Genomic DNA, 15,798 nt, shown 5'->3' with positions numbered 1-15,798 from the left:
CTTGCTCAGTTGCCCAGGATGGAGTGCAGCTGCACAATCACAGTTTATTGCAGCCTCAACCTCCTGGGCTCAAGCAGTCCTCCCACTTCAACCTCCCGAGTAGCTGGGACTATAGGCACACATCACAACTCCTGGCCAATTTTTGTATTTTTTGTAGAGATAGGGTTTCGCCATGTTTTCCAGGCTGGTCTCAAACTCCTGGGCTCAAGCGATCCTCTTTGCTTAGCCTCCCAAAGTGCTGGGATTACAGGTGTGTGCCAACACACCTGGCCAAGTTGTATATACTATTAATCTAGGCTATTTCTGACACTGTTGATTTTCCTTTTCCCCTTAGGTGAGGCAGGCGACTAATCAGATTGTGATGAATTGTGCTGATATTGATATTATTACAGCTTCATATGCACCAGAAGGAGATGAAGGTAAGAGCTGTTTTCCATTTTAATTTGCTGTCTGCATGTGCATATGTGGGGGGGGTGTGTGTGTGTGTGTGTGTGAGAGAGAGAGAGAGAGACATTTTCAGGTTAAGACTTCAGTGTTTGTTACTTTAGAAATGGGTAAATTCAGCTGGGTGAAGTGGCTCACGCCTATAATCCCAGCACTTTGGGAGGCTGAGGCGAGCAGATCCCTGAGCCCATGAGTTTGAGACCAGCCTGGGCCACATGGCGAAACAAAAACAAACAAACAAACAAAAATATTAGCTAGGCATAGTGGTGCGTGCCTGTAGTCCCAGCTATTTGGGAGGCTGAGGTGGGAGGATCTATTGAGCCCAGGTGGCCGAGGCTGCAGTGAGCCATGACTGCGCCGCTGCACTCCAGCCTGTGCGACAGAGTGAGACCCTGACTCAAAAAAAGAAAAAGAAAAAGGGTAAAATGTTTATGGGAAATATTGAATATTATAACCTAACAGTATTGTGAAATAAATGTCACAATTTATTTTACTTTTAAATTTATTTTTATTTTTATTTTTTTTGAGACAGAGTCTTGCTCTGATGCCCAGGCTGGAGTGCAGTGGCATCATCTAAGCTCACTGCTATCTCTGCCTCGTGAGTTCAAGCAGTTCTCCCTGCCTCAGCCTCCTGAGTGGCTGAGATTACAGGTGTCCACCATCATACCTAGCTAATTTTTGTATTTTTAGTAGAGACAGGGTTTTGCTATGTTGGCCAGGCTGGTCTTGAACTCCTGATCTCAGGTGATCTGCATGCCTCCCAAAGTGCTGGGATTACAGATGTGAGCCACCACACCCGGGCAAATGTCACAATTAAAATTCCACTTCCAAGATTAACTTATTTTGTGGTACTAGGGAAATCATATTTTCATAAGTATAAAATGAATATAATACGCATAATAAAGCTGATGAGTTATTTGAAAAATTAAGTACTTTGAACATGAAAGGCTCCTCAAAGAGGCTTCGTTTTTATGTTTTTCTTAAAGTTTTTTTTTCTTTTTGTACTATAGTTTAAAATTGAGATAAGTCATACTCCTAATTCAGAGAAAAACATTTGCTTTATGAGACAATATGAAGATTAGAAGCTAAATAATGGAGTTAGTTACAGGGGAAGAACATGCTAAAAAGAAACATGGTATAGAATGTGGAACTCGATTAGTGTCTATAAAATGAGAACTGTTTTATTTTATTTTATTTTATTTTATTTTTTATTTTTTTTTGAGACGGGGTCTCGCTCTGTCCCCCAGCCTGGAGTGCAGTGGCGCGATCTCGGCTCACTGCAAGCTCCGCCTCCCGGGTTCACGCCATTCTCCTGCGTCACCCTCCGGAGTAGCTGGGACTACAGGCTCCCGCCACCACGCCTGGCTAATTTTTTTGTATTTTTAGTAGAGACGGGGTTTCACCGTGTTAGCCAGGATGGTCTTGATCTCCTGACCTCGTGATCCACCCGCTTCGGCCTCCCAAAGTGCTGGGATTACAGGCGTGAGCCACCGCGCCCGGCCGAGAACTGTTTTAGACCTTATAATTTTAGTATGAAAGTAGTCCGTTTTGACTGGAAATCTTATTCCCGTATGAGCTGATTTTTAAATAGATACCAAGTTTGGCATAAACTCTTACAAGTACATCAGTATTGGAGCTGGATTGCTTTTTACTTTTTTTTTTTTGAGAGAGTCTCGCTCTGTCACCCAGGCTGGGGGGCAGTGGCATGATCTCAACTACCACAACCTCTGTCTCCTGGTCTCAAGCCATCCTCCCACCTCACCCTCCCAAGTAGCTGATATTACAGGCGTGTACCACCATGCCTGGCTAATATTCGTATTTGTATTTTTTTATAGATATGGGGGGGGTCTTCCTATATTGCCCAGGCTGGTCTTGAACTCCTGGGCTCAAGGGATCCGACCTCTTCGGCCTCGCAGGTTGCTGGGATTACAGGCAAGAGCCACCACACCTGGTTGCCTTTTTACTTTTGATTTCACCTAGACATTCCTTGTCAAAATGGTTATTGGTTACTCTGAGACTTCTTTAATAAAAAATAATTTAAGGCCGGGCGCAGTGGCTCACGCCTGTAATCCCAGCACTTTGGGAGGCCCAGGTGGGCGGATCACAAGGTCAGGAGATAGAGACCATCCTGGCTAACTCGGCGAAACCCTGTCTCTACTAAAAATACAAAAAATTAGCCTGGCGTGGTGGCGGGCGCCTGTGGTCCCAGCTACTCGGGAGGTTGAGGCAGGAGAATGGCGTGAACCCGGGAGGCGGAGCTTGCAGTGAGCCGAGATCGCGCCACCGCACTCCAGCCTGGGCGACAGAGCGAGACTCCGTCTCAAAAAAAAAAATAAAAAAATAAATAAAATAAAATAATTTACACATTTGATCTTTTAACTTACATTTTATATTTTGATTTCCTCTCTCCTTTACATTATACTGAAAAGAAGTTTCATTTTAAGGCCTCATAACATTTATGATTTTTTCTTAAACTATTTTGTCTATAGAAAGTCAAAGTAGTAGCAGTTGAACATACTGTTCCGAAGAAGTACTTAAGTTCAATTGATTGTAAATTAGATCAAACTGCTGGAAGAACAGATTCTTCAAATGGACTTGAATGAGTGCCACTTTTAAAAAATTGTCTGGTAAATGAAAGAGTGATTATTTAATTTCTTTAACTGTGGAGAAAAATAGAAGTACTTTAGCCAGGTATATCAAAGCAACAAGGCTTTCTTTGTTGCAGGTAGAGAATGTTTAAATTCGATGTGTGGTTTTAAAGTGGTATGTAGATAGGTAGATCTAGTAATATAAATGTGTACCTTCCAGCTGGCATGGTTTCAGCTCAAGTTTGTTTTTTATCTTCCTGTACTAAAAATGTCGGGATAGAATTCAGGTGACTGAAAAGTTCTTTTTTTTTTTTTTTGAGATGGAGTCTAGCTCTGTCGCCCAACGATCTCAGCTTGCTGCAACCTCCACCTCTGGGGTTCAAGCAATTCTTCTGCCTCAGCCTCCTGAGTAGCTGGGATTACAGGCGTGTGCCACCACACCCGGCTAATTTTTGTATTTTTAGTAGAGATGGGGTTTCACCATGTTTGTTAGGCTGGTCTTGAACTCCTGGCCTCGTGATCCACCCGCCTCAGCCTCCCAAAGTGTTGGGATTACAGGCGTGAGCCACCGCGCCCGACCTGACTGAAAAGTTTTGAATATGTGTAACCGAATGTTGCTAAGCTCATAATGATCTGTATCTCACGGAAGCCCAGTTAGTGTTCTTATTAAGAGAGTCAGGAGAGAAATGAAAACTTAATGGAAAAGAAGATTTGAAGAGAGATTCTGATAAAACATTAAATTATTTTAGATACATAATATATATTCAGTGCTGGGTGCAGTGGCTCACGCCTGTAATCCCAGTACTTTGGGAGGCTGTGGTGGGTGGATCATGACGTCAGAAGTTCAAGACCAGCCTGGCGAAGATGGTGAAACCCCATCTCTACTAAAAATAAAAAAATTAGCTGGGTGTGGTGGCGGGTGCCTGTAATCCCAGCTACTCAGGAGGCTGAGGCAGAGAATTGCTTGAACCCAGGAGGCAGAGGTTGCAGTGAGCCAGGATCGTGCCACTGCACGCCAGCCTGGGTGACAGAGACTCTGTCTCAAAAAAAAAATATTTTCCTTCAGAACTAGCTAAGGTACATTTCTCAACACTTTTCTACCACAGCAACAGGAAAAAACCTGAAGTCATGTGTAAGCCCATGTAATTTTAGAGTTTAAGAGAATGGGAAGTTGTATGAGTTGTTAAAGTTTGAATTGGGGGCAGCCAGGTGTGGTGGCTCACACCTATAATCCTAGCATTTTGGGAGGGCTAGGTGGGCGGATCACCTGTGGTCAGGAGTTTGAGAACAGCCTGGCCAACATGGTGAAACACCGTCTCTACTAAAAACACAAAAATTAGCTGGGCGTGGTGGCAGGCACCTGTAATTCCAGCTACTTGGGATGCTGAAGGCAGGAGAATCGCCTGAACCCGGGAGGTGGAAGTTGCAGTGAGCGGAGATTGTGCCACTGCACGCCAGCCTGGGCGACAGAGCAAGACTCTGTCTCAAAAAAAAAAAAAATAGTTTGGATTGGGAACAGGGATAGATTTGGGCTTCCACATGTATGTATGTGTGTGTGTGTGTGTGTGTGTGTGTGTGTGTGTGTGTGTGTATATATATATGTAATAAAAAAAGAAGATAAAAGTAAAATCAGAAAATTACTTTTAAGGCATGAAATTGTTGCTTCTTTTAATTTTTTTTTTTTTCTTTTTGAGATGGAGTCTTCACTCTGTCGCCCAGGCTGGAGTGCAGTGGCGCAGTCTCGGCTCACTGCAAGCTCTGCCTCCCGGGTTCACGCCATTCTCCTGCCTCAGCCTCCCCAGCAGCTGGGGCTACAGGCGCACGCCGCCACGCCCAGCTAATTTTTGTATTTTTAGTAGAGACGGGATTTTACCGTATTAGCCAGGATGGTCTCGATCTCCTGACCTTGTGATCCGCCCGCCTCGGCCTCCCAAAGTGCTGGGATTAAAGGTGTGAGCCACCGTGCCTGGCCAATTGTTGCTTCTTTGTGTAAGTTTTTATTTGAAGAAAAAGGCCATTTTTTTGTGATATGTGCAGTCATCCTAAAAGACCTATGAGCATGTGTCTGTTTTTTTTTTTTTTTTTTTTTTGAGATGGAGTCTTGCTGTATTGCCCAGGCTGGAGTACAGTGGCGCAGTATCGGCTCACTGCAACTAGTAGAACTTTTTTTTTTTTTTTTTAAAGAACTTGTTTTAAAATAATCCTTAATAGGCTTTTATTAACTCTGTTTGGATATTAGTTATGTACCCTTTTCTCTTTGCAAAAATGAAAAATCATTTCAAGTAGAAATTAAAGGTTTGTTTCTCATCCCTTTCTTTAGATATAGTAACAGTTATACCAGATATATATATATATATGTTTTTTTGTTTTTTTTTTTTGAGACAGAGTTTCACTCTTGTTGCCCAGGCTGGAGTGCAATGGCATGATCTTGCTCACTGCAACCTCTGCCTCCCAGGTTCAAGCAATTCTCCTGCCTCAGCCTCCCGAGTAGCTGGGATCACAGGTGTGCACCACCACGCCCAGCTAATTTTTGTATTTTTAGTAGAGACAGGGTTTCACCATGTTGGCCAGCCTGGTCTCGAACTCGAGACCTCAGGTGATCCACCTACCTCGGCCTCCCAAAGTGCTGGGATTACAGGCATGAGCCACCACGCCCGGCCCAGTTATACCAGATATAAGCAAATTTGCTAGTAGTTTAGATTTCTGGAATTGTGCCAACTACACATCAAGAGACTATTTAGCTTTGTTACAGAAGTCAGTATCAGTTTCTTGTTATAAGACGAGACCTGGTTTTACAGACTTTTCTATTTCTCAATGGAACTTTACTCTGAAGATATACTCTTCCATTTAAATACTAGTTCCAAAACCTACATTATATGGTGGCAGCTTAATAAACATTTAACATTTTGGTTAATTTAAATCTTGTTGATGTGTATACATGAATAACTGGGCTAAAAGCAGATACCTTTGATTATTGTGAAACTTCAAGTAAATATTGTGTGAAAAGGACCCCTTCTGTCTCACAAATTCTGGCCCCTCAGCTCATTGTCTGAACAGTGATTCCCTTGCATATAATAAATTCCCTTGGCTTATATATAATAATAAATGAAGTTTATTATTTATTTGAACTTTTTACCCCTGTAAATACCAAGGTTCTTTTTGCCTAAGTGGTAATTTGTGTCATTCAAAGAGTTTTTATTAAATATTATTATTATTATTTGAGATAGAGTCTCACTCTTATTGCCCAGGCTGGAGTGCAGTGGCACTATCTCGGCTCACTACAGCCTCCGTCTCCTGGGTTGAAGCGATTCTTGTGCCTCAGCCTCCCAAGTCGCTGGGATTACAGGTGTGTGCCACCAAACCTGGCTAATTTTTAAATTTTTGTAGAGATGGGGTTTCCCCATTTTGGCCAGGCTGCTCTCAAACTGTTGACGCCCACCTTGGCCTCCCAAAGTGCTGGGATTACAGGTGTGAACCACTGCACCAGACCTTAAATACTCTGTTTAAGTGATAGTTTGATAAGTGTGAACGCAAGTCTGAAATAGGTTTCTTTGCTTGTGAGAAAGTATAACGAATTGCCAAGACAATAGTGACAAACAGAGGGCATATTTTTCAAAGAGGAAGAGTTTATATAGTGTTAACATTAAGACAAAAGTCTTAAGTTTCTAATTTCTGATCTTGTTTGTTGGGATTTCTTTTTTTTTTTTTTTTTTTTGAGACAGGTCTTTCTCTGTCATCCAGGCTGGAATGCAGTGGCACAGTCATGGCTTACTGCAGCCTCCTGGGCTCAAGTTACTCTCCCACCACAGCCTCCCGGAGAGCTGGGATGGCAGGCATGTGCCACCACACCTGGCTAATTTTTTAATTTTTGTAGAGATGGGGTTTTGCAATGTTCCCCAGGCTGGTCTCAGACTCCAAGACTCAAGCAGTCCTCCTACCTCAGCTTCCCAAAGTGCTGGGATTACAGATATGAGCCACTGTGCCTGGCCCTTGTTTGGATTTCTATGCTTATCTGTGAAGTATATTCTGGTTTCTATGCAGGATAGATCCATTCTCAAATAAACAACCCTTAAGTATCATTAGTTCAAACTGGAGCCAAATAAATGTCAGCATTAGAAGGAGCAAGTGATAGTTAGCCAGCCCCTTTATTCCTTTTTAGTGCAAATCAGAGATAAAGAACATGAAGTTTGCAGTGTATTTGCATTCTTTCATTTTTACATTTGTTGGTTTTGAATAATATTGAGGGGCTGTCTGATAAAGAACCTGTGTAGGTTTCCATATGGCTATATACAAAGTATATGAGCGTAGAATAGTTTTAAATTTTGTCTTAGTTATACTTGGTAAGTTTTAAAACGTTATTTAAATAGCCTTAAGGTGATATGGATTGCTTTAGTGACTGCTGTTTTAGGAATTTAGTTGGCTTATTGCTGACTATAGAGGGAACGTTTTATCTTCTTTTTAACCTCCAGTTCAGGTTAGGTGCCTAACCAAGTGAAACATTTTTCATAATATAATGTTTAATAGTGATAATTATAAAAATAATGATGAGTTTAGTGTTTACTCTATACCAGGCACTAAGTGCATTACCTGTTCATATAGAGAACAACCGTAGGCACAGAGAGGGTATCTACTTTAGGTAATAAAACTGATAAATGTTAGAGCCAGGATTCAAACCCAGGCGGTTTGGATCTAGGGTCCATGTACTTGCCACTCTATTGCTTGTCATTAATGTAACCACACCATATTGCAATTATTTGTTTGTGTCATGTCTGTACTACTTTTCAATGGAATCTTAAGATCCTTGAGGGGCCGGGCATGGTAGCTCATGGCTGTAATCCCAGCACTTCGGGAGGCCGAGGCGGGCGGCTCACCTAGGGTCAGGAGTTCAAGACCAGCCTGGCCAACATGGTGAAACCTCGTCTCTACTAAAAAAAAAAGTACAAAAATTAGCTGGGTGTGGTGGTAGGCGCCTGTAATCCTAGCTACTCGGGAGGCTGAGGTGGGAGAATTGCTTGAACCTGGGAGGCAGAGGTTGCAGTGAGCCAAGATCACGCCATTGCACTCCAGCCTGGGGGACAAGAGACTTCTACTCAAAAAAAAAAAAAAAAAGATCCAGTAATTATGATTCATTCTTTTTCATTTGTGGTTTTCCCTGGTATCTGACATATAGTAGGGATTTAATAAATATACATTGAATGAAACGAAGAAAATCTAGATAAATGGAGTAAGTCTGTCATACAGTAGTTCCTCCTTATCTATGGCAGATGTGTTCTAAGACCCCCAATGGTACGCCTGAAACCACAGATAGTAGCAAAACTTATATATGCTATGTTTTTCCCTATACATATGTACTATGATAAAGTTTAATTTTTACATTAGAAATAGTAAGAAATTAACAAAAGCTAATAAAAAATAGAACCATTATAACAATATACTGTAATAAAAGTTACATGAATGTTGTGTGCATCTCTCTCTCTTTTCTTTTTTTTGAGACTTTGCTCTGTCGCCCAGGCTGGAGTGCAATGGTGCGATCTCAGCTCACTGCAATCTCTGCCTCCCAGGTTCAAGCGATTCTCCTGCCTCAGCCTCCTGAGTAGCTGGGACTACAGGCGCATGCCACCACACCCGGCTAATTTTTTGTGTTTTTAGTAGAGACGGGGTTTCACCGTGTTAGCCAGAATGGTCTCCATCTTCTGACCTCGTGATCTGCCCGCCTCGGCCTCCCAAAGTGCTGGGATTACAGGTGTGAGCCACAATATCTTTTTTTTTTTTTGAGATGCAGTTTCACTCTTGTTGCCCAGGCTGGAGTGCGATGGTGTGATCTCGGCTCACTGCAACCACTGCCTCCCGGGTTTAAGCAAGTCTCCTGCCTCAGCCTCCCAAGTAGCTGGGATTACAGGCATGCGCCACCACGCCTGGCTAATTTTGTATTTTTAGTAGGGACAGGGTTTCTCCATGTTGGTCAGCCTGGTCTCAAACTCCTGACCTCAGGTGATCTTCCCCCCTCAGCCTCGTAAAGTGTTGGGATTACAGGCATGAGCCACCGCGCCCAGCCAATATCTTCTTTTTAAAAAAAATTATTTCATTTATTTATTTTTAGAGGCAGAGTCTCTGTTGCCCAGGTTGGAGTGCAGTGGTGCCATCATATCTCACTGCAGCCTCAAACTGCTGGGCTCAAGTGATCCTCCTGCTTCAGCCTCCCAGTTAGCTAGGACTATAGGTATGCACCAACACACCCAGCAAATTTGTAAAAATTTTTTGTGAGTCAGGTCTGGCTTTATTGCTGAAGTTGGTCTTGAACTCCTGGCTTCAAGCGATCCTCCTGCCTCAGCCTCCCAAAGTGCCAGGATTACAGGCATGAGCCACTGTGCCCAGCCTCTCTTATAGTATCTTATTGTATTATACTCACTCTTCTTCTTTGACATTTCCAAACTGCTAGCATCACTACTCTTGTGCTTTGAGGCCATTATTAAGTACAATAAAGGTTACTTAAACACAAGCCTTGTGATACATTGACAGTCAATCTGATAACTGAGATGGCTACTATGTGACTAATGGGCTGGGTGGCATATATATACAGCATGGATAGGTCGGAGAAAGGGATGATTCATGTTCTGGGCAGAATGGAATGGGAGGGCACAAGATTTCATCACACTATTCAGAACAGTACAGTTTAAAACTTATGAATTGTTTGTTTCTGGAATTTTCCATTTAATATTTTCAGACTGTAGTTGACTCTAGGCAATTGAAACTGTGGAAAGTGAAACTGCAGATAAGGGGGACTTGTCAGGTCTGCATTTCTTCATGTGCTCTATCCTAGTAACTTTATGGGTAACAAAATTATTTCGTATTTGAGATTATTTTGTTACCAGCTTTAACTTGTATTTTACTTCCCTTTGAGGACTACCATCAAGATACTTACTAATTGTAAAGATTCTTTACAGTATTTTAAATATTAAGAAAATGGAGAGCATAAAAAACTGCTGTAAATTATGTAGTTTTTGCATTAAATGTAGAGAAAACACTGATTGCATAATGTTAGTAACATTGTAGTGTATGCTGTTCTTTTTTTTTTTTTTTTGAGATGGAGTTTCGCTCTTATTGCCCAGGCTGGAGTGCAATGGCATGATTTCGGCTCGCCGTAACCTCAGCCTCCCGGGTTCAAGTGATTCTCCTGCCTCAGCCTCCTGAGTAGCTGGGATTACAGGCATGCACCACCACAGCCGGCTAATTTTGTATTTTTAGTAGAGATGGAGTTTATCCATGTTGGTCAGGCTGGTCTCGAACCTCCGACCACAGGTGATCCGCCTGCCTCAGCCTCCCGCAGTGCTGGGATTACAGGCACAAGCCGCCGCGCCCGGCCATGTATGCTGTTCTTAAGTGTGAAGCTGGAAGAGTTAGTTGTTCTCCACATCAATGCTTCCTTACTTTTTTTCAAGGCATTAGTAGAAACTGATGTTTTCCTGGTACATAAGGAAGAGGAGGCTCACAACTGGAGGGTATCAGAGATCTTTCATTGCTCTAGGCCTACCAGGCTGGTCCAAGGGCCAAGGGAATTATTATCTTGATAAACCTGTAATACATGTTTGGATCTGCCACAGTTAGGGAAGCTCTGCTATAGTTTCAAGTTAATAGAATTAGAAGGGAAGTTAGGTAGTAGTCAGGGCTCATTTTATTTATTTGTGCCTTCTGTTTTACTTTTTTTTTTTTTTTGAAATGGAGTCTTGTGCTGGCGTGACCTCGGCTCACTACAACCTCTGCCTCCCGGGTTCAAGCAGTTCTCTTGCCTCTGCCTCCCAAGTAGCTGGGACTACAGACGCAGGCCACCACGCCCGGCTAATTTTTGTATTTTTAGTAGAGATGGGGTTTCCCATGTTGGCCAGGCTGGTCTCGAACTCCTGACCTTGTGATCCACCTGCCGTGGTCTCCCAAAGTGCTGGGATTACAGGCATGAGCCACCGCACCCAGCCTGTTTTACTTTTTTCTTGATCCCAGATCTTTTTCAGTTTTCTTGCTTTTTTTCTCAAAGAACTAACCATTGCTTTGTAGACCTCAGTTAACTATTATTTCCTTATTAACTTCTGCTTCCTTTGGGTTTACTTTGCAAGGTTTTTTTTTTTTATTTTTGAGACGGAGTCTTACTCTGTCACGCAGGCTGGAGTGCAGTGGCGTGATCTTGGCTCACTGCAATCCCTGCCTTCTGGTTTCAAGTGATTCTTATGCCTCAGCCTCCTGATAGCTAGGATTAAAGGCATGTGCCACCACACCCAGCTAATTTTTGTATTTTTAGTAGAGGCGGAGTTTTACCATGTTGGTCAGGCTGGTCTCAAACTCCTGACCTCAAGTGATCGGTTCGCCTTGGCCTCCCAAAGTGCTGGGATTACAGGTGTGAGCCACCGCTACCGTGCCCGGTCTACTTTGCAGATTTAAAAAAACTTCTTTAGGCTGGTCCCAGTGCAGTGGTGTTTATAACTCATCAATCATAGCCAGTTACAGATTTCTTTATTCCTCCTTCACTCCCACTGCTTCACTTGACTGCCCTTAAAAAAAAACAAAAAACAAACAGAAGTCTTGAGATGGATGTTTGGCTTATTACTTTTCAGTCCTTCTTTCTATTATATTCATTTAAATATAAATTTTAATCCTAAAAATGTACTGCTTTTAGCTGCAGCCCACACTTTTTTTGGTTTGTTTGTTTTGGGGGAAATTCTCCAGGCAGTAGTTATGGCTGTTGTTGCTTGCTGCTGCTTCTTTCCTATTTTTGTTGATAGCTTTGTGAGAGTACCTGTAATGTTGACATACTATAAAGGGTACATCTTAAAATATGTAATTTGATAAGTTTTCTCATGAATGTAACCAGGTAATGAGCATATTCATCACCCTAGAACATTTCCTCATGCCCCTTTATAATCCTTTTCTCCCCTTTTCCTTGCTCCTTCCCCAGGCAATTATGATTTGATTCCGTGTTATTTTTTTTTTGTACAGAGTCTCTGTCACCCAGGCTGGGGTACAGTGGCTCTATCTCAACTTACTGCTACCTCCACCTCCCGGCTTAAAGCAATTCTTGTGCCTCAGCCTCCCGAGTAGCTGGGACTTCAGGTGTACGCCACCACACCTGGCTCATTTTTGTGGGTTTTTATTTGTATTAATTAATTAATTTTTATTTATTTATTTAGAGATGGAGTCTCGCTCTGCTGCCCAGGCTGGGGTGTAGTGGTGTGATCTCGGCTCACTGCAACCTCTGCCTCCCAGGTTCAAGCAGTTCTCCTGCCTCAGCCTCCCAAATAGCTGGGATTACAGGCTTGTGCCACCATTCCTGGCTAATTTTTTCTATTTTTAGTAGAGATGGGGTTTCACCACGTTGGCCAGGCTGGTCTTGAGCTCCTGACCTCAAGTGATCCACATGCCTCAGCCTCCAAAGTGCTGGGATTACAGGCATGAGCCACCACACCTGGCCCACCCCCCACTTTTTTTTTTGAGACGGAGTCTCGCTCTGTCACCCATGCTGGAGTGCAGTGGCTAGATCTCGGTTCACTGCAGTCTTTGCCTCCTGGGTTCAAGCGATTCTCCTGTTTCAGCCTCCCAAGTAGCTGGGATTACATGCGCCTGCCACCACGCCTGGCTAATTTTTGTGTTTTTGTAGAGACGGGGTTTCACCATGTTGGCCAAGCTGGTCTTGAACTCCTGTCCTCAGGTGATCTGCCTGCTTTGGCCTCCCGAAGTGCTGGTATTCTAGGCGTGAGCCACCATGCCCGGCCTCTTTTTTTGTTAAGATAGGGTCTTGCGGTTGGGTGTGGTGGCTGACGCTTGTAATCCCAGCACTTTGGGAGGCCGAGGTGGGTGGATCACAAGGTCAGGAGATCGAGACCATCCTGGCTAACATGGTGAAACCCTGTCTCTACTAAAAATACAAAAAATTAGCCGGGCGTGGTGGCGCATGCCTGTAGTCCCCCCTACCTGAGAGGCTGAGGCAGGAGAATTGCTTGAACCCGGGAGGCGGACGGAGGTTGCAGTGAACCGAGATTGCGCCATTGCATTCCAGCCTGGACAACAGAGCGAGACTCCATCTCAAAAAAGAGGGAAAAAAAAAAAAGACAGGGTCTTGCTCTGTCACCCAGGCCAGAGTGCAGTGACAGAATCGCAGCTTACTGCAACCTCAAACTCCTGAACTCAAGTGATCTTCCCACCTCAGCCTCCTGAGTAGCTGGAACTACAGATATACGCTACCAAGGTGCCTGGCTAATTTTTTTTAGTAGAGATGGGGTCTTGCTTTGTTGCCTAGGCTGGTCTCGAACTCCTGGCTTCAAGGGATTCTCTCACCTCAGCCTCCCAAAGTGTTGGGATTACAGGCATGAGACACCGTGCCTGGCCTGTTTTTTCTTATTACATATTTTTGTTCTAGAATTAATTTTTCCAGATTTGCTTGTTTTCTTTGTTTTGCTTGGTTTTGGGTTTTTTTGGGGGTTTTGTTTGTTTGTTTGTTTTTTTAAAGTAACTTCGCGTTACTTGCCAAATTTTTCAGGATTGGGATTTTATATTTTTGAACATAGTAAGCAGGTATATGAATAGTTTGCTAGTATCTAGGGGAGCTTTGTTTTGTTCCCCGTTGGTTACTAATACTTAAGGTTCATCTTTTTCCAGTGTCTGGGCTTCAGATGTTCAGAAGTTTAATCACATTCCACTTGTGGACTGCTTTTCTTCTTGTTCATCTTTCCTGGTAGGATATCACTTTTTTGGTTTCAAGCCCAAAGGAGGGGGTCATTTACTCAAGCTTCTTGTCTTGTCTTGTCTTGTCTCTTCTAATAGAGATAGAGTCTCACTGTGCTACCTAGATAGACTATGTTACTTAAACTCCTGGGCTTAAGCAGTCCTTCCACCTCGCCTCCCAAAATGCTGGGATTACAGACACAGTGCCCACCCAGCCACAAAGCCCCCAGTGTTGATGGGCCCTGGATTTCCACTTTTGTCCCTGGGGCCTATAGCCTCAGCTTCCAAATCTGCTACATCTCTGCTAGATCAGCAAATGACCCCAGAGCAAAAGTGGCCTAGAATGCAAAGCTTCCTCTTTATGGAATTTCATCCTCTTCTTCATCTTGATCACCTTATCTTGTTCTATGATTCTTTTAAGGAGAAGTTTTCCCTTCCTTCCAGCTTTTTTAGTTTTGTGGGTGTCAAGTAGGAGAGAGATAATTAGTTTGAATTATATACTCCTCTATTACCCAAATATAAACTCCTTTAAAAAAAAAAAAGATAAACTGAGACCTAGACAAATTAAGTAACCGTGTAAGACCACATAATCAATGGAAATCCTGGTCCAGAATCCTGAGTGATTTTAATGAAATAGTTCACAGTCATTTATTAAGAGCAGGGGCACCCTAGAAGGAATTTTTTGATTCTGTTGAACCAGATTTATATTTGGCACATGCTCATTCTTTTTAGACTTTTTAGATAGCCTAATAGGATAGAACCATCACTATGTTATATAAATGTGAAATCCATTTGAAAATATGGGACCTGTCAGTATAGGTACTGCTTGAACTGTAACTATGCATATATCTGATTGGCTTTTATGCCCTACGGTGAGAAGGAGGTCACCTTGAAGCTTTGCAAAGTAAGTTCTTGGTTCCATTTTTCACTTGAATCCCCCTTGGATATCCTCCAGAATGATGTGTTTTCTTTCCCATTGCAACATTATTTTCAGCTTTGTGGAGAAACAAAGTATGTTCCAAGTAGCAGGTAGTCACTGTAGGCCTTCTTTGAACTGTGAACTTTATTTTTTTGCACCTGAACTGCTTTCTAAAACCACATAAACAATATGATAGGGAAGTTGCTATCTGAATAAAAAAACAAAATAAAACCTCACAATGTGTTTGATCTAGTACTGAGCTACACTGGTATATGTGGGCTATATAGAATTATGTGGTTTAGATTACTTGTTTAAGTATAGCAGTGGCTTGGAGGAAAATACATTCTGAGTTTCAAATAGATAATTTGTAAAGGAAAATTTGAAGTACAGTTGACTTGGCACTTCTGATATTGAAATTTTAGAAGATTTTATTTCTGTATCTCAATGTAATGCCTAGGCAGAATCCACTAGATGCTTGTATAGATGGTATAAGCAATAATGATTTCAGCTATTTTAAAAAATTTCAATCTTTTTTTAATGTTGCCTCTTGAAATACCATCTTGTACTTCTCATTTTCCCTATACCTCCTTTTATGTGATTAAGTTTTATTATGTATAGACATAAAGGGGGCCTGGCACAGTGGCTCATGCCTGCAATCCCAGCATTTTGGGAGGCCAAGGCACAAGGATTGCTTGAGCCCAGGAGTTCAAGACAAGCCTACGCAATGCAGTGAGACCCTGTCTCAAACAAAAAAAAAAAAAAAAAAAAAAAAGGTTGGGGAGGGTGCTATGATATTATGATACATATGTTGGTTTTCATCCACAGTTTCTGTCATAGAACACCCATAGTCCCTGTTATTTCCTAAGTGACTAAAACAATATACATATATTTTATTGAAATATTTGGCCTTTTATTCTTGGTTTTTGAAGTGGCTTCAGTACAGCTTCAGATCAATAAAAGTGAAAGATGGTCTTTTGTAATAACGTTGGGGCACTTTAAACCTCAGAAGCAGGCTTCAGAAAACAGAATCGCTCTCTGACCTTTTCTTGCCTTGCTTTTACCTGCTCCTTTTTCTCCCCAAGCAGGCAATAGAAACTAAAAATATACTCTGATCATCCCCCAACATTCTGTCTTGGAGCT

General features: G+C 42.4%; 1 pseudogene across 1 annotated transcript in view; it reads left to right on the top strand.

The window, feature by feature from the left end:
* The window catches only part of NPEPPSP1 (NPEPPS pseudogene 1), a 61,510-nt pseudogene that overhangs the window by 14,630 nt on the left and 31,082 nt on the right, over positions 1 to 15,798 (top strand). Inside the window, exon 2 of the transcript NR_036750.2 lies at positions 335 to 419. The product of NR_036750.2 is annotated as an NPEPPS pseudogene 1 (transcript). The remainder of the gene's footprint in view (positions 1 to 334; positions 420 to 15,798) is intronic.

The sequence above is a fragment of the Homo sapiens genome, chromosome 17, assembly GCF_000001405.40.
Source record: "Homo sapiens chromosome 17, GRCh38.p14 Primary Assembly".
Lineage (NCBI taxonomy): Eukaryota > Metazoa > Chordata > Mammalia > Primates > Hominidae > Homo > Homo sapiens.
This window is presented reverse-complemented; position numbering and strand designations above follow the sequence as displayed.